We start from the raw sequence: 27158 nt of genomic DNA, 5'->3' as shown, positions 1-27158 counted from the left end.
CACAAACGTGTTTAAACCTGTTTTTACACCCCGTGTTGTTTTTTGATTTTTGTTTTGAGACAGAGTTTTGCTCTTGTCTTCCAGGCTGGAGTACAATGTGGTGTGATCTTGGCTCACTGCAACCTCCGCCTCCCAGGTTCAAGCGATTCTCCTGCCTCAGCCTCCCGAGTAGCTGGGATTACAGGCGCACGCCACCATGCCCAGCAAATTCTCGTATTTTTAGTAGAGATCGGGTTTCACCATATTGGCCAGGCTGGTGTTGAACTCCTGACCTCAGGTGATCCACCTGCCTGGGCCTCCCAAAGTGTTGGGATTACAGGCATGAGCCAACGTGCCTGGCCACCATTGTGTTTTAAATACTCTATGTGGTACAGGTGGCATCCTGCTTTAACCAACTTGAAAACACATTCAGACTCCTCTATTGTGAACAGGCCTTATTAAAATGGAAATCTATTGCTAGCATGTACAAAGTGGGTACGCTGTGTTCCTTTCTGTGAATTTTTAAAAAATCTTCATGCAAAGCAAAAGGCACAGGGTCTATTCTCTTGGAAAATAATGAGTTGGAATGAGAAAGGCTGTGCCAAAAGATACTTTATGGCTTTTAAAATAATACCCAAGTATTAAATTTTGCTGTCCCTATATTTGTTACTTCTGATATAACTGCATTTGCTTTATAAAATATTCTTACTAAAATTTAAATGCATTGAGGGTGTTCTTTTTTAATTTTATTTCTTCTTTAAAAAATAACTTTCATATCACAGCCAGGTCCAATGTTGATGGTGTTCTCATACAACACAACGCAGAATGTTGTTCTGGCTTTCAAGGCTTAGGCTCACGGCAAATGGAAAATCGTGGTTGGTTAGCTCATAGTGGGTTTGCCTGGTGAATTACAGTATCTGCACTAAACTCACTAGATCAGGAAGAAAGGCTAGGAACTGAGTGCCTACTACGTCCTTCGGACTGACCTAGGCACAGACTCTCTGTCTTCAGATCTCTCATTAGCTGCTTTGTGACCATTGGCCCCAAGATCCTCCCTCATCCCTCATCCGACTCTGGTCTGTTTAGGAGAGAGCTCACAACATTATCTAGGCACATCTAATGCCTGATATGCAGAGAAGCAAGCTTAGGGATGAAAGGTGACTAATTCAGAGGGCAAGAGGGCTCTTTAAAGATGAGACTTCAGGATCCCGTATTCAGGAAATACTTAATGAAGAGGCAACATATGGTACAAAGTTTTAGTCTAGGAATAAGAAGCCAATTCTATACTCATCTTTCTCATGACCAAGCAGTGACCAATGTCATGCCCTGGTTTCTCTGGATTCAGGTTCTAAACTCTTCAGAGGCAGAGACTTAGTAATTTTGTGTGGCCAAAGCTCAGTTAAATTTGCATGATAGCCTGATCAAGGTTAAGAACACAGTCTGCTGTCACTGAGCTCAAGGGGCAGCCACTGTCCTCACTATGTGCCCCGCACTGCTAGCAGCAGAGACCCTATCCTTCTGAGCTCATCTGCCATTAGCTGTAAACGAAGACAAAACAAAACCGAGTTCCTTTGCACTGCATCTTCTTTTTCCATGCTGATTCTCTATCAGAATCTCTCTAAACCATGAGTTTTATTCCGAGGACAATATGCAATATGTTTTTTGTGTTTTTTTTTTTCCTATTAGAAGGGTGGAAGAACCAAAAAGCAAGTGGGGAAAACAATGGAACCACACAGAAAAAAAAAAAAAAGGAAAGAAAACAGCAATCTCAGGAGGCAGCTTGGAGGAAATGTGGAAGCTCTGGCCAAGGTATGGGGAGCCGAATCCATTGACTTCCTGGCTTTTAGATTGAGAGAAGTAGAAGTAATCCTTGAGAAGATCTGCATCGAAGGGCTTTTGGTTTAGCGCTTCAGAGCACAGCCGGGAGCCGTTCGGCCAGAGTCCCAATAATAGCCCTGCCCAGTAAGTGACGTGCCCCCAGTGCCTGAGTTAGCTCATCCTTAAAATGAGAACAGTACCTGCCTCAAAGGGTTACTGTGAAGAATAACTCAATTACTATGTGCTAGTCCACAGGCCAATGCAAAGGTCATAGTAAATGCTAGATAAGTGTTCATTGCCTAGTCATCAGTACCACTTACTGAACCCGTTCACGCAGCTGGAGGCAGTGGGGCACACGGCAGTTAGGCTCAATGGCCAGAAAGGCAGGGGAGGAATCCAGCCTCTACCCATGACTGGCTGTGTGACACTGGGCACGTAAGTAAACTTTCTGTGCCTCAGTTCTCTCATCCTTAAAATGGCACTACCGGTCCCTACCTCATTGGATTGTTGTAAATATTTAGATAATTTAGACAATCCATGTTAAGTGCTTAACACAGTACTTGGGGGCACAATAGCTATTTAGTAGATGCCTGTTATTATGAAGCATTATTGTTACAGGATCCAACTCAGCCAATGGGTAAGTGATAATTCATTCCTTTTTAAAAACCTTTTCTTCTAATTATAAAAGAAACAAATGTTCCATGTAGACATCTGAGGAGACGCAGACTCACAAAAAAAAGAAAATAAAAATCACCCAACCCTTTTCCACCCCAGATACCCAGTGATGACACGTTTTCCATGTCCTTACAGCCTTTATGTGAGAGTGCATAGGCAAGCCTGTGCACACACAGTTTTCTTTTACGTAATTGGGACTACACTGTCTACATGTATCCTGTTTTTCTCACTTCATGTTACCTGTCCTTTTATTAAACAATCTAGGAAACGTGACTTCCTGGCTGCCAAGCCAGCCCTCCACTGCAGAGATGTGGCGTGTTGGCTTGGCAGCCAGGAAGTCACATTGCAGAGTCCAGCACCACTAGATGTGGAGCTCAGCATGGGCCACCCCTCCTCACCCCACCTGATGAGAGCTTTTCCTCCCTGGGCAGGGCTGGTTCTCTAACCACCAGCAACAACCTGACGTGGGTGGAGTTTTTTTTTCCCTTTTATGACAAGAAAGGTTAAAGAAGGAAAGAACAGTTTGGGGAAAGAAGTAAGTGGCTCCAAAGATCCCAGCCTCCCAACGATGGTGACCTTCGCAAGCACAGCAGCGTACAGATGAAAAGACAAACCTGGTGGAGGGAGGAAAGGTTCGCTGGCAGTTTTCTAGGAATCGTTAGTTACCCTGGAATCTTAAAATATTTCCAAGGCAAAGAGCCAGAAGATTTGGGTATAACAGAAAGCTCCAGTTAGGAATCATTGCTCCAGAGACAAACCCTAGGGTCACCCTTTGGCATTGTACCCCCTGTCACCTTCCTGCCGTAACCCTCAGCTCAGACACCGCCTGCGAGCGGCTTATGCTCCGGGCTCCTATGAAACTCAACAAAGGCCCTTAACAAGCGCTCGCAGGCTTTTCTTGCCAAGTCCTGGGCATTATGAGTCTGTAATCGCTGCCTCCTGCACACCACTGCAAGCCCTCTCCTCTTTGTTCCTGCCACCCCTCCCACCTCACAGCTGTGAAAAAAGAAACACATTTAAATACCACCCTGAATGGCCCTTTGGAAGTATGAGTGGCAGGTCCTGCCACACCTCTTTCTCTTCCAGACCAAGGAAACCTGCTGCCAACACTAGCTCATTTTTCACTAAAGCCATGTTCCTGCTCCTGGTGTTCACCACCAAAGAAGAGAGGGAAAATCAAGTTTTTAGAATTGCTTAAAGACAAAGGTGTCATTTTGCAAACTGTTAAGCAGCAACCAAATGTCAACTTAATACTATCCTAACAGCTTGGCCTGATGCAAATGCCTTATCCTTATTCCAGTGGCCACTATCAGTTCCTGGTAAGCGTCCCCAGTCCCTCATTAGTGACACTAATCGAAGTACCAGAGTGTCAGGGGAACCTAAGTGAGTGACAGTGTGTAAGAATTTTTAAGCCTTTCATTATTCCAAATGAACCAGCAGACATGCAAATTACCTTTTCCAGAATATGGTGCAATATGCAATTCTACTAAGCACCCTTCCACCTAGCGACCCTCTGCCCCTGCATTTTTTTTTAACAACAGCAAACACAAAATTCCAAAAAAAGCTCTCATGAGACTTCAGAGGGCACTCCATTTTCTCCATTTTCTTTCACAGATTGGCATGTTTTTCTACACTGCATGCACCCCAGCATGTTAAAGACGGTGGGAAAACCTCCCAATATATGTCACAGCTTATATTTCCTACTCGAAAGCCCACTTTGCCGAGGAATCATGCAATCCTTAGACTACAAGGAGAAAAATCATGCCACTGAATTTCCTGAAAGCAAAGACTCTGGCAAACAGGAACGAGGGAGGAAAACAGCTAGGGGTGCGATAAGCCTCTCACTGTAATCTCCCTTCAGCATTCTATGAAACATCACTCCCGGAACGGGCAGGCAGAAATATACGGCACCTCAGTGTCTTCCTACTTAGAGCGTTGCTTTTCATGGTAAAAAGTGATTATCAAGCCAGTTTCCCCTTTGTATTTAAATAATAAGACATGGCCTGCCCTAGGTGAACTGTTTCTTCCTTAGGATATTGAAACTTGAATGGCAACATTAAATAATAATGGTATAAAAATCCACATTCTATTTTATAAATAAACACAAATGCTGTAGCCATAAACCCTACTGTCAGGCTTTGCCTGGGCAACCCAACTCCAAAGAATTTCTCAGCTGGTCAGTGACATGTAGGGAGAGTGCACTGCCCATGGTTAGGGACTGTGGCAAGAAAACCGAAATCACAGGCCCCCGAGGGGCTTCTTTGCTCATCTTGGAATCTACCAAGGGGTCAAAGTACAGTTGAAAGGAAAAGTTTGGTAAAATTCTGATGCATTTCAAATATCAAATCCATTCTATTTCCTTTAGATATATTTTTAGGTTACATCTTATAAGTAAAGCAACAGTAATAATTTAATTTTAAGTGGACCAACACACCATGTGGGCAATTTTGACATTGATATTGGATTTTATTTTTTATTTATTATTACTATTTTTTTGAGCCAGGCTGGAGTGCAGTGGTGTGATCTTGGTTCACTGCAACCTCCGCCTCTTGGGTTCAAGCCATTCTCCTGCCTCAGCCTCCTAAGTAGCTGGGATTACAGGTGCTCGCCACCATACCTGGCTAATTTTTGTATTTTTTAGTAGAGATGGGGTTTCACCATGTTGGCCAGGCTGGTCTTGAACTCCTGACCTCAAGTGATCCACCTGCCTTGGCCTCCCAAAGTGCTGGGATTACAGGCTTGAGCCACTGTGCCAGACAACATTGAATTTTAAAGAGATCAGACAAAGGAGCTCAAAAACTGGGGAACCAGAAGCAAGAAAAGAGGGAAAGGAGATGAAGAGAGCCCGTCTGGCTTTGCTTTAAGCCTGCTCCACAGCTTCAGCAGGCTCCATCAGCCCTTTTCTCTGTTCCACGCTCTTGAAAAAAGAAAAGATGCTCATCAGCGACGGAGATGAGGAGGAGCAAGAAGGGGTGAGGGGAGAGAGGTAGAAGGCTGAAACTAAAAAATGTTTAGCCTAATTTCCCCCTAACCTACTCCCCAGGTCTTCCAGAGCCGGTGTGAAGTTTGCATTTCGTTACAGAGGATCAGACATATCACACAAAATGATCCCCATCTTACAAAGATTACATATAATAAAACCTGACATGCTGGCTTATGCCACTGACAAAGGCTCTCTGCTTGACCAGAGAATCCTGACCTTGTAACCAAAATTTAACCAAGCTTCCAAAGCTTCTCCCAGGCCCATCTGTGCACTCCCTTGTAAAATCCAGTTTTGGCAAAACCCCCTGCTACGTCGGTTTAGCAAGAACGACCCCATCTCGATATCTGATCACCCTTGATATCCGATCAGGTGCCTTATCCTTCACCAACCACCAGGGTATGTCCGATCACCCTGGCTTGTCTTCAGTAAGAATCTTGTTAGCTGCATTCAGCCAGAATCTCCTTTAGCCCTGATGTTTCTTTTTAGTATATTCACTGACCCCCACCCTGCTCCTGGGCTATACATTCCCTCTTGCCCATGTTGTATTTGGAGTTGAGCCCAATCTCTCTCCCCTACTGCAAAATCCTATCCACCTGTTGTGATGGTCCTAAACAAAGTCTTTCTTACCATGCTTTCTACCTTCAAATATACTTTTTTCTTTCACAACATAGATGTTTAGAGTCCTGAACACTGATTATAAAAAGTTTTAACTCCATTTCTTAACCCAATTTACATAAATAATTGTTCATTCATTCATGTATTCATTCATTCAGTGAGTTGAGTACTTATTTCGAGCCAGGCATGAGTGACACAAAACATCAAATATAGACCCCAGTCAAATTTTTAAAAAAGTTAAAAACTACTACCTGCTCTGAAGTGGGGGGTTTGCAGATATAAAAGATATAAAAGCCAGTAATGTAGGAGGAAGGGACACCTGAGCTGGGATGACTGTGTAGAGCCTTTCCAGGCTCTCAATGGCTATGCAGAGGCCTTAAGTAGGAGACTCCAGGACAGGGGCACAGGAGGAGGTCTTAGAGACAGGCAGGGGCCAGACCATGCAGGATGGAGTGGGCCACAGCTCAACAGGGTCCAGGAAGTTCTCGAGAGGAGAAGCAGAGGATGTGCGCATGCAAGATCTCTGGCTACTGCAGTGGGTGGGTGGTGGGTAGTGGGAATGGGAGGCTGAATGAGCCCAGCTGACTGCGGGACAGGTGTTGGCAAACTTCTCTTGGAAGGGGCCAGGCTGTAAATATTTTAGGTATGTGGGCCAAGAGGCAAAAATCTAGAATATAATGTATATACTTATATAACAAAAGAGAAAAGAAACTTCCACAAAATATTTATTGACAGAACTCAGAACATAGTAATAATAATTGAGTAAAATTTTTAAAATTCAAGCCTACTAGTGAGAAGAATGGAATTCTTTGAGGAATAACATTTTGCTTAATTGGTGTTCTGCTGCTGTAGCATAAAAACAGTCATAGACAAATTGCATGAGTGTGGCTGTGCTCCAATAACACTATTTATGGATTGAAACATGAATTTCGTATACTTTTCATGTGTCACAAAATATTACTTTTCTTTTAATTTTTTTCCAGCCATTTGAAAATGTAAAAACCAGTTTTAGCTGGAGGACGATAAAAAACAGGTGGTGAGCTGGCTGTGGCTCAGGGGTCCTGGTTTGCCAGCCTCTGTTGCAGAAGGTCCCACATTCTGCATGTGTCTGATTGCTTGCTCATGAGGTCATTCATTCCGGGCAGATTACCACAGGGTGACGCTCTGTGCGCCTCCTTGTATCCAGCAGAGGCTTGTGATAGGAGGTCATTCCATTACACGTGACGGTAAGTTTGATCCATTTTAAAGAGACACTTTCCCCTTTGCAGTAAGAAGCATCTGTGGGTGATACTTCTGACCCTGAGAACATCTTTTTCCCCCACAACCTTTCACCCAGTGGTTTTAGCTTTCATAGATGATTCTTGTCTGAATCAATCACGACATTGGAAGTTACAAATTAATTTGGATATGATTTTTTTCTCTTTTAACCTTTTAAATTGTCCAGTGCCACAAATAGAAAAGCACATAAAATAATTTTGTACAGTTTAACGTATTTCTATAAAGTGATACTGTATGTCATCGCCACCTGTGTCAAGAATTAGAGTCTTGCCAGCACTCTAGAAGCACCCAGGGCCTTTCTGATCCTGAGTCCCCCACTCTCCTCCCAAAGGGTGCCATCTCCTGATTTTATGGTTATCCCTTTCTTGCTTTTCCTCATAATTTTACCAGCTTGTCTTGCATTCCTAAACACTGTAGTTTATTTTTTTCTGTTTTGGAGCTTTATATACATGGGATCATACAGCATGTATTCTTTTGTCACGTGGCTATTCCTCCACATTGTTGCATGTATTGTTGATTCATTTTCACTGCTGTATAATACTTTAGAGCATGACCATAACACACATTTTATCAATCCATTCTGCCATTGATGGACATAGGGGGTTGTTTCCAGTTTTGTGCTATTCATGCTGCTACAAATGTTCTTAACATGTCTTTTGGGTCATGCAGGCACATACTTCTCTTGGATATCTACCTAGGATGCACATGTTTAACTGTGGTAGGTGCTGTCAAACGGTTTTCCAAAGGGTTTATATCAATTTACACTCCCACCAGCAGTGTATGAGAGTTTCCATCACTCCACATCCTTGCCAACATTTGTCATTTTCTTCTTTTTAATTCTGATATGATTTTAATGGCTGCTTCATATACCATTTAGAGGATATATAATAAATTATTGAATCTGCTGTCATAAAAAATGTGGGTTGTTTTTTGTTTCTTTCTTTTTGGTTATTATTACAAGTAATACTTTCATTAATCTCCTATAGCTATATATTTCTGTATATCTATGATTAGTTACTTAAATAAAAATTACTTGAAGTGAAGCCATGTCAAGAAAATTACTTGAAGTGAAACTAGGTCCATTTTTTACTGACAAATTGTATCTTAGGGCATTTCACTAAGTTTTGCTCCCACCAAGAGTTATAAGTGCCTAGTTCCTAATACTCCAGCCAACATTTAAAAAGTATCTCACTAGGCTGGGCGCAGTGGCTCACGCCTGTAATCCCAGCACTTTGGGAGGCTGAGGCAGGTGGATCACAAAGTCAGGAGATCAAGACCATCCTGGCTAACACAGTGAAACCCCGTCTCTACTAAAAATAGAGAAAATTAGCCGGGCGTGGTGGCGGGCACCTGTAGTTCCAGCTACTCGGGAGGCTGAGGCAGGAGAATGGTGTGAACCTGGGAGGAGGAGCTTGCAGTGAGCCGAGATAGTGCCACTGCACTCTAGCCTGGGCGAAAAAGCAAGACTCCGTCTCAATAACTAAATAACTAACTAACTAAATAAATAAATAAATAAAAATATCTCACTAAACTGATAGATAAAAATGGTTTCTCATTATTTTAATTTGTTCTTATTAAACTGTAGTGAGGTTAAAATATTTGCATTTCTTCAATCTAATCATATCCTGTGCCCATCTTTGTATTCATCATTTCCATAGTAATCTGTAAGAGCTCTTTATATGCTAAAGACGTTAATTATTTGCCTTTAATATGTATTGTAAGTGTACACATTATTTTTCTACATAAATGTAGAAAATATGTTTTAAGAAAATATTAAAATTTACATGATTATTTTACTCCTAAATTGACCTGTTCTTCAGAAAGAGAAAGAGAGAGAGAAATGAAGGAGAGAATTCAAAAAATTTAACCAAATGTACAATTATTTTTATTATGCATTTAAGCATCTTTAAAGAAGAAATTCCCTAATAAAATATTAAATGTTATTGTCAACATTATCAAATTCTCTTCTGATTTTTGCTATTTATTACATATATTAAGTAGTTGATTTCATTATGCACAAAATGTGTTTTTCATTTGTTTGTTTGTTTGTTTTTTTGAGACGGAGTCTCACTCTGTTGCCCAGGCTGGAGTGCAGTGGCGTGGTCTCGGCTCACCGCAAGCTCCGCCTCCTGGGTTCACACCATTCTCCTGCCTCAGCCTCCCGAGTAGCTGGGACTACAGGCGCCCACCACCATGCCCAGCTAATTTTTTTGTATTTTTAGTAGAGACGGGGTTTCACCGTGTTAGCCAGGGTGGTCTCCATCTCCTGACCTCGTGATCCACTTGCCTCAGCCTCCCAAAGTGCTGGGATTACAGGTGTGAGCCACCATGCCCGGCCAAAATGTGTGTTGTTTCCAATCCATCATTTTATATCTACTTTTCCATATCAGCATAGATGTAAGTTGTTTTTGTTTTTGTTTTGAGACAGAGTCTCACTCTGTCACCCAGGCTGGAGTGCAGTGGTGCGATGTTGGCTCACTGCAACCTCCGCCTCCTGGGTTCAAGTAATTCTCCCTGCCACAGCCTCCTGAGTAGCTGGGATTACAGGCACCTGCCACCATGCCTGACTAATTTTTGTATTTTTTAGTAGAGATGGGGTTTAGCCATGTTAGCCAGGCTGGTCTTGAATTCCTGACCTCAGGTGATCTGCCCACCTCGGCCTCCCAAAGTGCTGGGATAACAGGTGTGAGCCACTGTGCCCCGCCAGATGTAAGTTTTAATTACCACCACTGCATAATGCAATTTTTAATTAACAGTATGACATAACACATTTCATTTAGTTCTCGTAAGCCATTTAAGATCTATTTTTTCGCTAGAATAAATAGCATTGTTGGACATATCCTTGCATAAATTCTTTTTGGTATTTTTAGGGTTAAATTCTTAAATCAGTCTCAAAAATAAAACTACCTGATTACCAGGGGAAAACTATGATACATACACATTTACTGTTTTCTTACAGAGAACACTCCAGAAAGACCTGTTCAACTTTTACTGAGTCCTAGACATTTGTCTGTCACCAGCAATGTTTAAAAAGGATTATTTTCTCAAACCTCCAATAACATGGATTTTGTTCAGTTTATTTATTCTGGCTAAATTTATGGGTACGTCAGTATTTGCAGTTATTCTAAGTTGTACTTCTTCAGTGCTTGCAAGATCCATATGATAGTTTCATGTGTGTTTACTTACAAACCATCACTTTGTGGCAATGACCTTGAATTTGACTTTGGGTCAAATTCAGCAGTGAAACTTCAATACCTATTCCTATTCTTTGTTTATATTGGTTAGAAAGCTCTCAAACGTAATTTATACTATGTGCTTTCTTTCTACTGTCTTGCAGGGCAAGAGCCAAGTTCCAGGCAGGTCTAAGCCCTTGGCACCTCAGATAGGGTCAGTGTCCAAACGAATGTCACGTGGGGTGACATCTCAGGCATACTCTCACCCTCACCAGGGCCTGTGGTCATGCAGCAGGGGCCGCAGGCTCTCCCTTCATAGCCAACACTCCTCAGGGCCATGTCATCTGCACATCTGAGGGAGGGTTGCATCCGGTGGGGAGGATGGCAGGGAGGTTCTGTTCCTGGCTTCTGCTGACTTGGCTCACACCATCTCTAAGCAGCCCTGTCTCTGTGTGCCATACCGTCATCTCGTTCATTTTCCACGGAAAACAGAAGCTGCGGAGCGGATGCGAGACGCCCCTCACTGAAGTGGTGTGAGGAATGGAAAATGAGTGTGAGAAGTGCTCCTGGTTTTCTTCAGAGGAAAAGTTTGCCATAAGCAGTAAGCACTAGCATTTTTCTGAAACCGTGTGTGCGGTGGTGATTTTTGCCCCACAAGGGGACATCTGGCAATATATAGGGCCATTTTTTTACTGCCACAATTGGGGGGTGCTACTGGCATCTAGTGGGTAGATGCCAGGGATGTTGCTAAACATCCTACAATGCATAGGACAGCCCAAACAACACAAATGATCTCACCCCAAATGTCAGTGGTGCCAAGGCTGAGAATCCCTGTTCCAAAACAAAATGACCACCCTCAGTGGCCCACTTCTAGACACAAACCAAACTATGAAACCAAGAGAGAACATTCAGCAACACGAACTGAAATAGCCTCGATTCAGTCTTGTGTAGATAGGGAAACTTCATGTAAGGATTTTATATCTCGTTGTGGCATTTCCTATTACACTAGGGGACTGAAGCTCAATCTCTCATTATCACCATCCAAATTCCACACTGGAACTTGACTTCACAAGGCCTCATTGGCCGTGCACTTTGGCATGGCCCATTGCGTGAGGTTTCCAGTGAGACAGAAAGTCACTCAGACTCGCGAGCCTGTACCAAGCAGCAGGAATGAGAAGAGAAATGAGGTAGACATCAGTAGACCAATGAGGTGGAGGTGGAAGCTGCCGAAGAATGGGGGAGAGAAATGGCTGAGCCAGGCTGGTTTGGAATCAGACTCTAAAGCTGCCAGATCCAGCCACCTAAGATGCCACCTGCCACAGGGAAGCTAGGCAGTGCTACTTCTGAACATTTAAAACCTTCTGCTCAAGTGTATTCAAGCAGTTTATGCTCCACAGTAAACCAATCAGAAAAAAAGGTCTTACCGGGGGTGCTGATGGTGGGGGAGGGGGAGGAGCCCCCAGAGGCGGGGGAGGTGGAGGCAGAGGAGGTGGGGGTGGCGGTGGCACTGGCATGTGTCACGGTGTTGATGTCTCCTGCTTATGAATGGTCCCAAGAGAGTGGCTTCTGCTCTGAAAAAGAGAAAAAGAATGGATTTAAACTTGGATTTCTTTACTTACATGCAGGAAATGTGTATCTTGCAGACATGCATATTATAGTCAGCTTGATTCTTTCACCTGTTCATTCATTCACTCATTTGTTCATTCATTTATTCACAGAGTGCCCACTCTGAGGCAAGCTTTGTGCTAAGTGCTGGAGATTGACAAAAGCAGCCAGATTCTAGAGATAATAGGTGTTAAAACTGATAGAATTTAGCTATTTGTGTCTCAGTACAAATAGAATATACATATATATGTATATATATATAGCAATCCTTCATTCCATAATAATTTTTCCAGATAACTGACTTCTACCTCTTTAGCATTAAATTTTTAGTTTTATCATTTTCAATCATTCTGCATAGACTCCCATTTTCCTAAGCAGAGCAAACAGAATGAAATGTAACCTTTTCTGAATGTCACAGGCTCAACATGAACTCATGATGCCAGCCTCGAGCAAGGCTTAGGGCGCTAGTCATTTTCCTGCCTCTTTCTCTCCTGTCAGCTCTTACTTTCCCTGCTATTCCTGTGTCATCATTTCTACCCAGCCATCTGGATGAGGATGGGCCACTCCTCTCCTCTGCCTAGACTTTCTATCTGGTATTTGCTATGCAGGGGGCTTTTTGGCATGATTCTGCCAATATGATTCTGTTTCAAATAGTTAATATTATAGGAGGTCTGATCTCTGGATAAATGTGTGGAGCCTGTATGTGTGCATGCATATGTGTGTATGTGGGCATGTGTCTTAGAACCCATAGCAAGGCACACTGCAAGGACTTAAAATCTGTATTAAAGAAAAACCCCATAGTTTATAAGAATTGGAAAAACCTATATAAGAACCTAAAAACAATCAAAGCAGAAACTGAAATAAACCTTACACTTGGGCAGGGGTGATTTTGTATTCCTGCTGTCCCTTTGGTTACTGGAGGACCAGAACAAGGCCTGTCCCTATGTTTTTTCATCTTTAAAATCCTGTGGCATTTATGTTTTTTCATGTTAATATTCTTGTCTCCACAGAGGCCAAAAGCATTTATGCAATGTGATGCTTTCTTGTTAGCATAGTCCACTGAATTTTGCTCACCTAATATGTTAGTTCTTTTTATCTTTTTATAAATGGCAATTATGTGACACACTAATCACACTTATTTCTACAAGAATCTTCTAAGGTCAGGGCTTCAACGCCCTAGCATCCCCATTTTTATAGATAAAGAAAAGGATGTTCAGAGACATTAACTCTTTTGCTCAAAGTCACCTATACTATAACCAGCAGACCTGGGATTGGAACCAAGGCTTAACAGGTTCTAAAGTCCAAGAATATCAGATTTATCATTTTAACTCCTTTTAAGTATACAATTCAGTGGCGTTAAGTGCATTCACAATGCTGTGCAACCAGCATCACTATCCGTTTCCAAAACTTGTTCATCATCCCAAACAGAAACTCTGTACCCATTAAACAATAACTCCCCACTGTCTCCTCCCCTCAGCCCCCAGTAACCTCTGTTCTACTTTCTGTCTCTATGAATTTGTCTAGTCTAGGTACCTCATATATGTGGAACCATACAACATTTGTCCGTTTGAGTCTGGCTTATTTCATTTAGCATAATGTTTTCAACTTTCATTCATGTTGTAGCATGGATCAGAAATTCATTCTGAATTATTCCATTGTACGTATACACCACATTTAGTTGAGCCATTCATCTATTGATGAGTGCCTGGGTTGCTTTCACCTTTGGGGTGTTGTGAGAAATGCTGCTATGAACATTGGTGTACAAATATCTCTTCAAGACCTTGCTTTTCATTCTTTTCAGCGTATATGCAAGAGTGGAATTGCTGGATCATATGGTACCATCTTTTTTCCCAGCAGGATTAATCTAAATTTGTACAAAAATTGAAAATGGCGTAAAATATGTGTGTCAGTGCAACTTTTTTGGGGAAAGAGTCCATGATAGTTTTCCTAAGAGTTCCAAGGAGGTGCATAAGCTGATTGTTGTACACAACTACACTTTTCTTACAAAGTATTTCAGGCTCCTTGAAAGAAGGAGCCTGATCATCACTGTGTTACTGCCTCATTCCTTGATATTAAAACAAGAACAGAAAGACCGAAAAGGAAAATACTCATCAGAGTCCACAGCATAAAACCATAGTAAAATTGAGCAGAGATCTCATGGGGTAGTACGTGTTTCTTTCAGGTAACATCAGTGTTATTTTATTACCAAAACTAAACTAATGGTGCACTAAACTAATACACACAATGACATAGGGTTAGACACAGTTAGCATTTTACAGGCTGGTGCTAAGGCAACTTGGATGCAGGCCCACAATTTAGTTGGAACAAGCACAAATTATCAGATATTTGTATTTTAACACTTTCTTTTACAGGAGGCACTGGGTCTATTTTTTATGATCTTTTATTCAGTGGCAAAAATATTTTTAGTCAAAAATTTATAGCAAAGATTAAAGAGTTGGTTGAAGTATTAACAGAACGAGAATATCTAGAGGTCTCATTATATAAGGATCTCATCTTTTAACTAAGACACATGACAGGAGACAGAAATGCTTCCCCTGGTGAAAAACTGGAAAAGGTGGGGAAGAATAACCTTTACAAACGGAAATACCACTTACCTAAGGGTTTTGTCATTTACCTAAGAAAAAATAACTGTATAAAGAGACTTTAAGGAGAACTGCAGCAGAGCTATTCCTGTAATCCCTCAGCACATGGCTAGACTGCATCTCCCAGCCTCCCTTGCAGCTAGGTGTGACCACGAGACTGAGTTCTGGTCAATGCAATGAAGGTCGAAGTGATGTGCTATTACTTCTGGGCTGGTTCAGAAAGACCTTCTGCCCACGACTTTTCTCTTTCCCCGCCCATTGACTGTAGCAAAGGTCCTATGTGTTGGCAGAGCCACAAGATGAAAGGAGTCCGGGTCCCTGACTCACCTGTAAGACTACCTGCCAAACACCTGATTAGACTTTACATATGTGAAAAATAAACTCCCATTGTGTTAAGCCATGAAGATTTTTGAGTTAATTTGTTTTATCCACTAATATTGAACCTATCCAATATAGGAACTAAATAAAATACAGTTGATTCTCATTATTCACTATAGTTATGTTTAGAAAGTTGTCATGAACACAGAGCGTGATGATTACTTTTATGTGTCAACTTAATTGGGCTAAGGGTTGCCCATCTGGCTGGTAGAACATCATTTCTGGGTGTATCTGTAAAGGTGTTTCCAAAACAGGTTAGCATTTGAATCTGCAGACTGAGTAAAGGTCTTCCTCACCATTGTGGGTGGGCGCCATCTAATCCGTTGAGGGCCCAGATAGAACAAGACAACCCATGGCCAACGGCACTAGGAGTCATGTCTGAACAAATCTTATCAAACACTTATATTTTCTCCATAAGGCACATCACGGCCTTCTTGGGCTTAAGAATACTAGGCAGCGCTTCAGCACTTTGCTTGGGGCCATTTTAAACTGCAAAACCACCAACAATAAGTACAAAATTTGGAAAAAATGTGGCATTACACAGACTGAGAGAGGAGCACTTGTTTATAGGATGAGAGCTGAAACAAGAAGGCAGAGTGTCCTGTTATTTCAGCTCAGCTGGGAACATGCTCGTCAGTGTCTACAGTTTTTCACCACTTTTCACATGCCTGGGAATGACCACAAAAGCACCGTGAGTACTGATTTTGGAGTTACAAATACACTTTCGTGAGTACACGTAGGTGAATTTGCAAATGTAGAATCTGCAAGTAATAAGGATTGGCTCTATACCTTTTTGACTCTCCCACCCGGTAGGTGCTCAGCACTGCACTGGGGACTTCTAAGACATTTTATGTAATCCTCTCAACAACCACGTGGTAGACGCTGATATTTCCATGTAGCAAATAACCCAACTTTGCCTCAGAGAAGTATGCAATTTCTACTAAATTTCAGAAAGATCATCAGAGCTGAGTTTAAAGCCCTGGTTTTTCTTATCTAAAACCTCATTTCTTTCTTTCTTTTTTTTTTTTTTTTTGAGACAGAGTCTCGCTCTGTCACCCAGCCTGGAGTGCAGCGGCGTGATCTCGGCTCACTGCAACCTCCACCTCCTGGGTTCAAGCGATCCTCCCACCTCAGCCTCCCAAGTAGCTAGGACTACAGGCACACACTGCCACCCCTGGCTAATTTTTGTATTTTTAGTATAGATGGAGTTTTGCCATTAAAACCTCATTTCTACTGTACCACATTACTTTATTAGCTTGATATGATTCAGGTCAAGTTATATCCCTGCTTCCATTTTGCAAAGATTTAAAAATATTTTTGAGACCCTTAAGTGAAAGAAACCCCATAAAGGTGGCTGTAATTCTTCTGCTTGCCCCTCCCTCACCTGAGCGGCCTTGGTTTCCGTCTAGTTTTATCTTTAGGAACCTGGGAATGCTTAGGTGCCACCGAGATGCTGCCTCGCTGAAGTCACAGGCAAGGATTTTTCAAAATCCAGGATTAGAGGATAGTTTTATATGTAGTGTTTGATGGCTGTGAAAGGCTTTTTTTTTTCCAGATACAATAATTAAGCAATTATCTAAAGAAGTATTTGTTAAAATCTGACAGTTGAGAATGCTGAGCTCCAGGAAGTCAGGGGCTGCACGCAAGAGCTCTTCGAGGCTTTGTGTTCTCTCAACCCATTTAAAAATGTTGTTTTGCTCTGAAGTGTATTTAAAATGTTTAGGATGTAAAAGGACAGATTCTCAAAGGCTTTTATACTTTCTCCCAATTCATGAACTATCGCAAAACAGCATCGAAATACACATCCAAGCACCATTAGAGGGTGGTGAGGGAAACAGAACTAACACTCACTTCCACGCGAGGCCCGAATACAGCACCTGCTCTCAGAACCAGGCGGCCCCAGGTTCCGCTTCCACCTTTCCCTTTTCCTGGCCGTGTGGCCTTGGTCAGGTCACTTTACCTTACTGGGCCTCCTTTTCTTCATTTGTAAATTAGGAGTGATAATGCTTAATTCTGTTTGTTTTCACTATTAAAACAAACACTGTATATGAAGACACAGTACACGTCCTGACACATACGTGGAAGTGACACTTATCATCACCACTACAAATAACTATGTTAAAAGCAGGAGTCAATTCAGGCACGGTGGCTCACGCCTGTAATCCTAGCACTTTGGGAGGCCGAGGCAGGTGGATCACTTGAGGTCAGGAGTTCCAAACCAGCCTGGCCAACATGGTGAAACCCCGTCTCTACTAAAAATACAAAAAAATTAGCCAGGTGTGGTGGCAGGCTCCTGTAATCCCAGCTACTTGGGAGGCTGGCTGAGGTGGGAGAGTGGCTTGAACCTGGGAGGCGGAGGTTGCAGTGAGCCTAGATTGCGCCACTGCACCCCAGCCTGGGCAACAGAGCAAGACTCTGTCTCAAAAAAAAAAAAAAAAAAAAAAGCAGGAGTCAGATAAATGCCCCAGGAGAGGTAGAGAGTGCTAAGGGATAGCATCATCCATTCAAACTTGAGGAGGAGGTGCAATAAAGAAACACTTGGTGGAAGTGATCTTATTTTTCACCAGGCAGAGAGGTGACTAAAGGAGTCTGTTCTAGTAAGCAGGAGCAGCAAATAATCAGAGATTTGGAAGTGGGAGAACACAAGCAGCCTGGGAGGCTCTGCATGTGTGGGGGAGAAGAGGAAAAGGCTGCCATGACGGAGGCTCTTCAATGACACTCAGCTACCCTGCAAGCATCTTCCTCCTTGGGCAGGGGTGCTCATCTGTCTTGTGGTTGCCCACCGTCTTTTGAACACTTACCCTATGCTGGAGGAATTTCCCACATTGTGAGTCCCACCTCCTCCAGCCAGAAGTAGGAACTCCTTCCCCAGCATCCCTTGCCAGCAGGGAGCAGGCTGTGACCACCCACTCAGAGGTGGGCTAAATAACAGGTGAAAGAGCGCAGGCGGGACATGGCTACAGGACATGGACCTGGGTCTGCAGTAGGAGCCCCTCTCAGCATGGGTTGGGTGATATTCCATGGGAATACGAGCCCAGTATTGGCCAGAACCCCCTACTTCCCTCTTCCAAAAGCCCCATATCTATCTAGATTTTTGCGCGAAGTTCAATTTTGAAATCTGGGTATGTAATTTAAAAAGCATTTTTAAAAGCCAGTGGGCCACAGAGCACAGAACACGTCTGCAGGTCGCACAGGACCTGCACTGCAACCTCTTTAGCGGGAGCTATTCCAGGGTGAGGGTACGGGCGCCCTACTTGATCCCTTTCTTTCCCTACATGTTCAGCCTGTCTGTACTCATTCAGAAGTGATGTGGACTGGGCTTGCCTCTCTTTTAATAAAAAATTATATATGTCTGTGTTCCAACCACACTTTGTGAGTTATTTCAGAAAGAAAGAACTCATGTAAGTAATTTTACACACTAGTTGCTCTCGTCAAACTCTTTTTTTTCTCCAAGAGTAGTCTGTGAGAGTACAGCTGTTCACACACAGAAAGTGTGCTTATGTTTTTAAATATAAGCAAGAAAGATTACTGCCACCATCTGACAAAAGCATGTGGGCTGGGTGCAGTGGCTCATACCTGTAATCCCAGCACTTTGGGAGGCCGACATGGGTAGATAGCTTGAGCCCAGGAGTTTAAGATCAGCCTGGGCAACATGGCAAAATCCCATCTCTACAAAAAATACAAAGAAAATTAGCCAAGTGTGGTGGTGCACACCTGTAGTTCCGGCTACTCAGGAGGCTGAGGTGGGAAGATCACCTGAGCCTGGGGAAGTCAAGGCTGCAGTAAGCTGCGATTGTACCACTACACTCCAGCCTGGGCGACAGAGTGAGACACCACCTCAAAACAATAATAATAGTAAAATAACACACTTGACTAGGAATCTGCAAATAAGGTACTCTGTGCAATCCTAACTTTGTATGTTTTGACACTGTTCCTCTTTCAAAGAAACACATCCCTTGTTTCTTTGGCTATAAAATGGGGCAGAGGGAGGAGAATAATGATTTCTCACTTCTGAACCAATGAAGGCTAATAAACCCCATGACGCAATATATATCTCACATTATGATCTCAGTAGGGTCCTGCCACCTCTAAGCGTCCATCATTCATCTATTAAAGGTACCTTGCGGCCAGGAGATAGCAGCCCACAAGCCCACGTGCAAACAAGGAACAAATAAAGGGTTCTCAACGTAAATGTAGTAAAGTTTCTAAAGCTATAAGTAAAATAATAAAAGAATTTTATTTTTAAACTTCTCTCCAGGTGATGATGAGAATGTTTTATGATGGTCACTTTCTGTTGTCACTTTCTTGTCATTTAATGAGCAAATTCTCTGTTCACATCTCTCTCCTTGGACTTCCAACCTATGAGACTGTCCTCTTTTTGGCCAAATGGAAGTTGCTGCTCTCACTCTTCTCAATGATATAAAAAATCTGTAAATATTTAGCTTTTGTGGGGAGGTGGGGCATGTTGGCCTGAGTAAGCAGAGAAGCCAGGAACAGGATTGGGGGAAATCTGATGAAAAAATCACTGAGCATGTATTTGTGCTCTAGATAACAGTGAAGCAAATTAGCCCTGACACAGCCCTTACTATGTGTCAGACACTGTTCTTAGAGTGTTTCATATATTAGCCCTTTTTTAAGCACCATGACACCCCAATGAGATAGATACCATTATTATCTCCATTCTCCAGATGAGGCAATTGAAGGATGGAGAGGTCAAGAAACTTGCCCAAGGTCACACAGTGTCATTAGTGGAGGAGTTGGTACTCAAACCCAGAGTGTCAGGCTCCAGAGGCCAGGCTCTTAAGCACCATACTAAGTAAGGCCACTTGTATACAAATGACTTTCGTGGTTTTTGTGACAGCCGCATACCTCCTAAACTCACATTTATTTAACATTTACTATAAATCAAGTCATGCTTTCAGTCAAGTAAGTTTATTTTGGAAAATAAACTTTATTATCATAAATGGAAAACCAATACCACTTGGTTTATAATAATGGAAAGTAATACTAAGAATAAATGGAAGGTAATAATAAGAATAAACACAGGATCTCAGGAAGAATAAACACTTGGAAGGTAATAAAAAGAAGGAAAGTAATAATAAGAATAAACACAGCCATTATTTTAAAATGTTTATACACTCTCTGAACTCATCTCCAGTTTCCCTAGCAATACCTAAACCAGGCTTTGGGGAACAGTGATCTAGGGTGGTATTTACCAAACTCCAGTGGAGGGTGAGTCACTGGAGATCTTGTTAAAATGCAGATTCTGATTCAGCTGATTCAGTAGGTCGGAGTTGGGGCCTGGGATTCTGCATTTCTAACAAGCTTCTGCGTAAGGCCGACACTGTGGATCTGGGGCCACACTGAGCAGCTCTCCAATGTGGAAGGCTGTAAGAAAGGCACCATCTCCACACAGACCTACTGAAGCACAATCTCTGAGAGCATCTTATCTACAGGGGAGTTTTATGCTCGCTAAAGTTTGAAGAACCCTGCTCTGGAACATCTAGGATGATGAAAGCATTCTCTCTCCCATAGAGTCAGAAGTTGTGGCCTTTGCTGAAAAGGCTCATTTTCATGTAGATTCATTTAATTTCAGCAGGCTGGGTCCATGCAAATGCTACTGTACTTGGAATTGAATATGACATACAAAGTGAAAGGGAAACCATTGCTCTCACACAGGCGACATGAACGATTTCTGACACCTGAGAAACACCAGCCCAGACATCGGCTCCAGAAACTGAACTGGCTCAGCCCTAACTGGGTATTAAAGTTAATTATCTGCTGAAGTGCTGAAAGGATTAATGTGGGTTTATCTATGTGAATTCTAAAATGGAAACACACTTTAACCACATCTAATATGAAACCTACTATGTACACATACTAAGATGAGCTCATACATTGGTTTTCTTTTATAGGACTCTTATTGAAATGCAAATTTGTTCCCAGATCATTCATTGAATTCACTCTAATTTTTGAACAGTATTTGGTGAAAGGAAAAAATGAAGATATTAATAATATTTATCACTGACTCAGGCATTTAAATGAGGGCTGAGTTCCATAAAAATTGTTATATGTGTGGTTCCCAAGGGTGAAAGGAGAAAATATTGATTTCCTGTCTTTCTTCTCTTTCATCCTTGAATTAATTAAGAACTGGATTTATTAAAAATACATGATATTAATCACACATTCACGAGTAAGCTGCATTTTATATAACAGTTATACTTCTAAAATAGGGTATCTCTAAGTTTTGGAAAATCAAGGTAAACCTTAAGCATAAAAAAGGAGCTTAATATTTTTTTTCCTTCAACTTTTATTTTAATTTCTGGGGTACATGTGCAGGGTGTGCAGGTTTGTTACATAGGAAAACACATACCACGGTGGTTTGCTGCACTGATCAACCCATCATCTAGGTATTAAGCCCAGCATGCATTAGCTAAAGGGAGTTTATTATTCAACGGAAACTTACAATTAATATCATAAAATAATGAGCCATTTTACAAAATGAATGACCACCTCTTTAATTTATGTTATGATGCTAGATTTTATACGAATGGTGTTTTTTGCTTTCTTAAGGCTAAGGTGGTAACTTTTCACGTTGTACGTACTCCAAAAATGCTACTATTCCAAAAATCATTGAGGAAATAATGTGCAGATGGGAGGTAGTATTGGGTACAAGAAGAAACAAATCCTTCCTTTCCAGGTTTTGGGTGCGACTTTAGGTTAGTTTAAGTGCTTTAACCTTATTCCTACTGTTCCAGGATAAGCAGATTCTGACGCCCTGGCTCCCTCATCCAGTTTGAAGTTAGGCTAAAACCTCAAACAGCCTGCAGCAAGGAGCCTCCCTCATCTCAGCTACCAGGCAGATTCCTTCCTGAGGCAGCCGGCACATCACTGACAGCCAAGTCTCACAAATCGACTACAGGTGTCACCTATCAGCGTCCATGACATCACTCCCAGGTTTAACATGTACTCCTCTCTGGGCTACTTACTATGAAGTCAGACTCCACATCTCATCCTCCACTGTGTTCTGGGCCTCCTCCGTTTTACCCACATCACACTGTTGACATTTTCTTATATCCTTTTTTTTCTTTTTTTTTTTTTTAAAAATACATCTCTAAGTCTGCCCATGGTATTCAGGCTGCAGGTCAGGGCCTTCACCATCTGGAAAATACCTGTTAACCTGCAAAACTGTGTTCAGGTGCCAGCTTCTCTGCATTGGCTTTCTTCTCCCTTTGGGAGGGCTAACTGCCCCTATAGCACTTTGCACTTTGGTCACACTTCTACTATGGTACTGAGCACTCTGGCAATTTTCTTCTTCTTTTTCATTTTCGTTTTGTTTTGTTTGAGATGGAGTCTCGCTCTGTCACCCAGGCTAGAGTGCAGTGGCATGATCTCAGCTCACTGCAAGCTCTGCCCCACCAGGGCCAACCAATTCTCATGCCTCAGCATCCGTAATAGCTGGGATCACAGGGATGGGCCACCATGCCCGGACCTATTTTCCTTTTATATGTCTCTGTGTCTCCCTTCACTGGACCATGGGCTCCTCAAAGGTTCAAAGATAGGGACTATGTCTTTGGGATACTGGTATTGCCAAAGCCAAAAGTAATGCCGAATGCCAAATGCCACTGCCTTGGTGTATTAGTCTGTTCTCGCGTTGCTATAAAGAAATACCTGAAACTGAGAAATTTATAAATAAAAGAGGTTTAATTGGCTCACAGTTCTGCAGGCTGTACAGGAAGCATAACGGCATCTGCTTCTGGGGAGGCCTCAGGGAACGTTTACTCATGGCAGAAGGCAAAGTGGGAACAGTGTCTTAAATGGCAGAAGCAGGACTGGGGTGGGGGTGCCACGCACTTTTAAACAATCAGATCTCGTGAGAACTCACTCAACATCACAAGAGCAACGATGAGGGGATGGCACTAAACCAATAATGAGAAACCGCCCACGATCCAATCACCTGCCACCAGGCCCCACCTCCAACATTGGGGATTACAGTTCGACATGAGATTTGGGCAGGGATACAAATCCAAACCATATCAGTTGGTATCAAGATATTTTTGTATCAAGGCAATGGCATATAAACAAGGAATCAGGCTCCCGCAAAAGATGGAGACAAACCTTGTTAGCAGAACACTGGGAAAGTTATATGTGAATCTAGAAATGAGATATCATCTTAATGATTATTAAAGAAAAATATTGCAAACTAGAAAAGGGAAGAGAACTGTCAAAGTTTCTGTCCAATGGTAGACCTCATTATCGGCGTGGGAATAAAATATATTCTGAATGTTGGGTTCTCCCAGGAGACGGAGGTTGCAGTGAGCCGAAATCGTGCCACTGCACTCCAGCCTGGGTGACAGAGTGACACTCCATCTAAAAAAAAAATGAATGTTGGGTTCTCAAAGCTTACAGTGCACACTAGAAAAGGCTTCTCTGGCATGACAAAAAGCAAGGCAATCAAAGAGAAATCATTTAATAGCTGGGAAAACTGGTTTCTAGTTCTGGCTGTAATTCCCATCTATTTGTTCAAGAAAAAGGTAGAATGTTTCTTCTTTCCTAAGTTGTATAAATATGAGGAGCAAAGGAGTACTGCTTTGAGATAAATAATAAAGAAATTTAAAATTGCATATGATCCTGTCCAAAAAACAAAGTTTTTCCAAATGTAATTTTTTAAAGTAAGGATATGGTGGCTTCTTGGAAATGGAAGTGGTCTCACTAAACTGCAGCAGAGAGGAGGCAGCTTGCTTTTAGATTTTTAGATTAAAAAACTCACTTTTCAAAATAAAGTTCAAGAAGGTCTTCCGGTTTTAAGACGGTAAAAATATCTGTTTCTTCCTTTTCTTGGAAATCATCTCAAGATAACAAAGAAAAAGAAAATTTTCTTTGGTAAAACTATATCTCCGTAACTCTGCACTTTAATGAATGAGACAGGACGGTTCATTGCTCAGGATGATCTGACACGGGTTGTGGATATGCTGTAGACGATACATTTGTGGCTGTAAGCCTCAGACAAAGCCTGCAGAGCCCTGCTCTCCAAAGTGGGAAACACTAGCTCCTTGGCAAAGAAAACCCATCAACTCTCGTTTAGAATAATGGAAAAGGGTGTGTAGGATGGCAGCAGAACTGATCTTAGACCCTAGACCCACCAGGGAGCAGAGAAGATGGCAAAGGCAAGGCATTTCTGTAGGGACATTCTAGGAATGAGGTAGGCCAAGAAGACAGTGAATCTTGGGCAGCCTCAAAGCTACCCACCTCTACCGGCTGGGGAAAGGAGGGTCCAAAATTATTTGCAGGCACAGATGCAAATGTGCATTTCAATGAGTCTTATAACACACATACTTCTCTCTCTCTGTGTCATAAGGAGTTCCTCCCTAAGCCAAAAAGAATTCTTGCTGGTCTAGAACTTGCCATGGTCATTTCCTCAAGTAAATCTGAAAATAGTTGGTCCAAGAAGAGTTGACCTCATTTTAAGATGAATAATGAAAAAGAGAACCAGTATAAGATCTATACCAAAAAAAAAAAAAAAAAAAAACTAAGAAAAAAGTAAGGAAAGGAATAGGAAAAGAACGATGATAAGTAAAGAACATTTATTAGAAAAAATACTGCTGTAAAGCAGATAAACACTGTGACAAGACATACAATTATTAACTTAAAGGATTTAATGAAATAATTAACCCTTTAAAACAAGGAATCAAAGAAAAGAGATAAGGACTCTGAGAATATCTAGCAAAATAATAGAGGATGAAAAATATCATGGCAGAAGTAAAAGAGAAAAATGAAGAACACACTAGAAGAAGCCCAAAGAAAACAGGTATTGTTGAAAACACACTGAGTACCATGGAGGATTGAGAAAAATGAGCAGAATGAAATGTAAATGGACAAAGAATTTGAAAGGATTAGAGAGAAACTGCTAGATATGGAAGACAAATGAAAAAGATAACTGGTTTTCCTGAGTAAAAGACATAAACAAATGGAAGAGAACAAATATTCAAACACATAATATCAAGCATATAATTTAAGAAAGCTTTTCAAAAGGAAGATTTAATTCTATACATTTAAAGGTACAAGGCAAGTCACAGTGGCTTATGCCTGTAATCCCCATACTTTAGGAGGCCAAGGCGAGAGAATCACTTGCACCAGGAGTTCATGAGCCTGGAAATATAGGGAGACCCTGTCTCTAGAGAAAAATTAAAAAATTAGTTGGGCATGGTGGCGTGTGTCTTGTCCCAGCTACTTGGGAGGCTGAGATGGGAGGATTGCTTGAGGCTAGAAGGTGGAGGCTGCAGTAAGCCGTGATCAAACCATAGCACTCCAGCCTGGGTGACAGAGTGAGATTCTGTCTCAAAAATAAATAAATCAATTTATTAATAAATAAAATAAAAGGTCTGTGATATCCAAAGGAAAATCATATAGTTTTGGAGACATATTAGCCATGCCATCATATCCCAGAGAAACAATGTGTGACCTAAAAGTTTATATCCAGCCAAACTGTCATTGTAGTAAGAAGGCAAGTGGCAAATGTTTTTAAACATGCAAAATGTGTGTTTCTTGAATTTGTATTGAAGATACCACTGTAGGAAAAATGTCAGCTAATCAAGAGTTGAGGAGAGAAAGTGGGGACAAAGAAATGGCAGTAAGTATTGAATTAACTGCTGAATCAAGACTGAAACAGCTATGGAAATACGCTATCGGAAAGGAATGGAACTACTATTAATCATGGCAAAATGGAAAAATGTAACTTGCAAAAGTTATCAGGTAAAAAGGAAGATAAAGTGGGAGATATATGCATGTTGATTCCTTAGCTATTATACTCAAGCATAATACCTTTAAAGTTAATAAATCAAAATATCTTTAAAGAGAATAAATCACGTCTATTTCTCACAGGAGTATAAGTCAAGCATATTAAAAGGTTTAGTTTTGGAAAAACTAAGAAAAAGTGATTATACCAACTAGAATTGAATGGTGGAAAGGAGGTTTGGAAAGGGATAGATGGGAGGTGGGAAGAAGTGGATATTCAGTATCATTTCTGTTGGGGAATCAGTGGATACTCTCTAAATTAAAAGAAACAACAACAGAGAATTATTATCATTATAAAGGGGATTGCTAGAAGAACTAAAGATAGGACACATCTCCCAAATGAATTACATGGGCACAAAGTAAGGAAAAAAACAGATCATGTAAAAAAGCAAATTAAGCAATAAAAAATAGAAAACAGAACACATAACAAAAATAATAACAAACATATCTGCCATATCAATACACATAAATAGGCAGAGCTCACATATTAAAAGAAAAAGCCCTCAAACTGGACCAAATTCAACTATATACTGTGTAAAAGATACACACCTGATTTGAAACAGAGAAAAGTCAAATCACCATAAAAACCATTAAACAAGGCAAAGAAAGATTCTTTATAATGGTAAAGGGAATAATATACAAAGTTTGAGTTAGCAGCCATGAATATCTATGTTCCAAATAGCAGTAACAAAATTAATAAAGCAAAGCTATAGGATATTATTCAAGGAAAGGAAGGCAAATGTATATTCAGATCAAGACTTTTATGGGTTCTCTCTCTGTCCTTATCATATTTAGTGGATCAAAAAAGTAAGGTTTTAAAATATATAAATAAAATAATTGCAAGGTACGGGGAAATATATGACTATACATTCTAAATATAGAAGACACATATTAAAGTGTCCCTAAACTAGCCACAGAAGGGACTATATATTAGCTGTAAATAGTGCAAAGAAAATCTCAACAAATTCTAAAATGTAGAAACAGAACAGACAATATTTTCTGTTCACAATCCTATCAAATGACAAAAATACAAAGAAAACTTTAAAATTCTATCACTTAGAAACTTTTAAACTTTATTTAACAGATCTTGGAACAAAAAGATGTGAAAACCAAACTTAATGTGTACTGAGAAAATAAGGATAATGAAAACATTGCATATCAGAACCTATGGAATGCAGCTAATGAAAAATTCAGAGCAAAAATCATAGCTGTAAGTAAACATATTTATAAAACAAGGAATAAAAAACTCTCAAGAAA

General features: G+C 41.2%; 1 protein-coding gene across 2 annotated transcripts in view, besides 1 other annotated feature; it reads right to left on the bottom strand.

The window, feature by feature from the left end:
* Positions 1 to 27158, bottom strand: part of WIPF3 (WAS/WASL interacting protein family member 3) — a 110554-nt gene that overhangs the window by 70302 nt on the left and 13094 nt on the right. For both annotated transcript variants that reach the window (NM_001080529.3, NM_001391973.1), the window contains exon 2: positions 11946 to 12092. In NM_001080529.3, coding sequence (NP_001073998.2) covers positions 11946 to 12035 — 90 coding nt within the window. In that variant the 5' untranslated portion in view covers positions 12036 to 12092. The remainder of the gene's footprint in view (positions 1 to 11945; positions 12093 to 27158) is intronic.
* Positions 20558 to 20897: an enhancer, noted in NCBI's record as "active region_25802". NCBI's record gives its function as "activates an Ori minimal core promoter by ATAC-STARR-seq in GM12878 lymphoblastoid cells {active_cell/tissue: GM12878}" and the evidence as "EXISTENCE:reporter gene assay evidence [ECO:0000049][PMID:35858748]".

Source organism: Homo sapiens, chromosome 7 (assembly GCF_000001405.40).
Source record: "Homo sapiens chromosome 7, GRCh38.p14 Primary Assembly".
Taxonomy (NCBI): domain Eukaryota; kingdom Metazoa; phylum Chordata; class Mammalia; order Primates; family Hominidae; genus Homo; species Homo sapiens.
The sequence above is the reverse complement of the archived record's forward strand: the minus strand, read 5'-3'. Positions and strand labels throughout refer to the sequence as shown.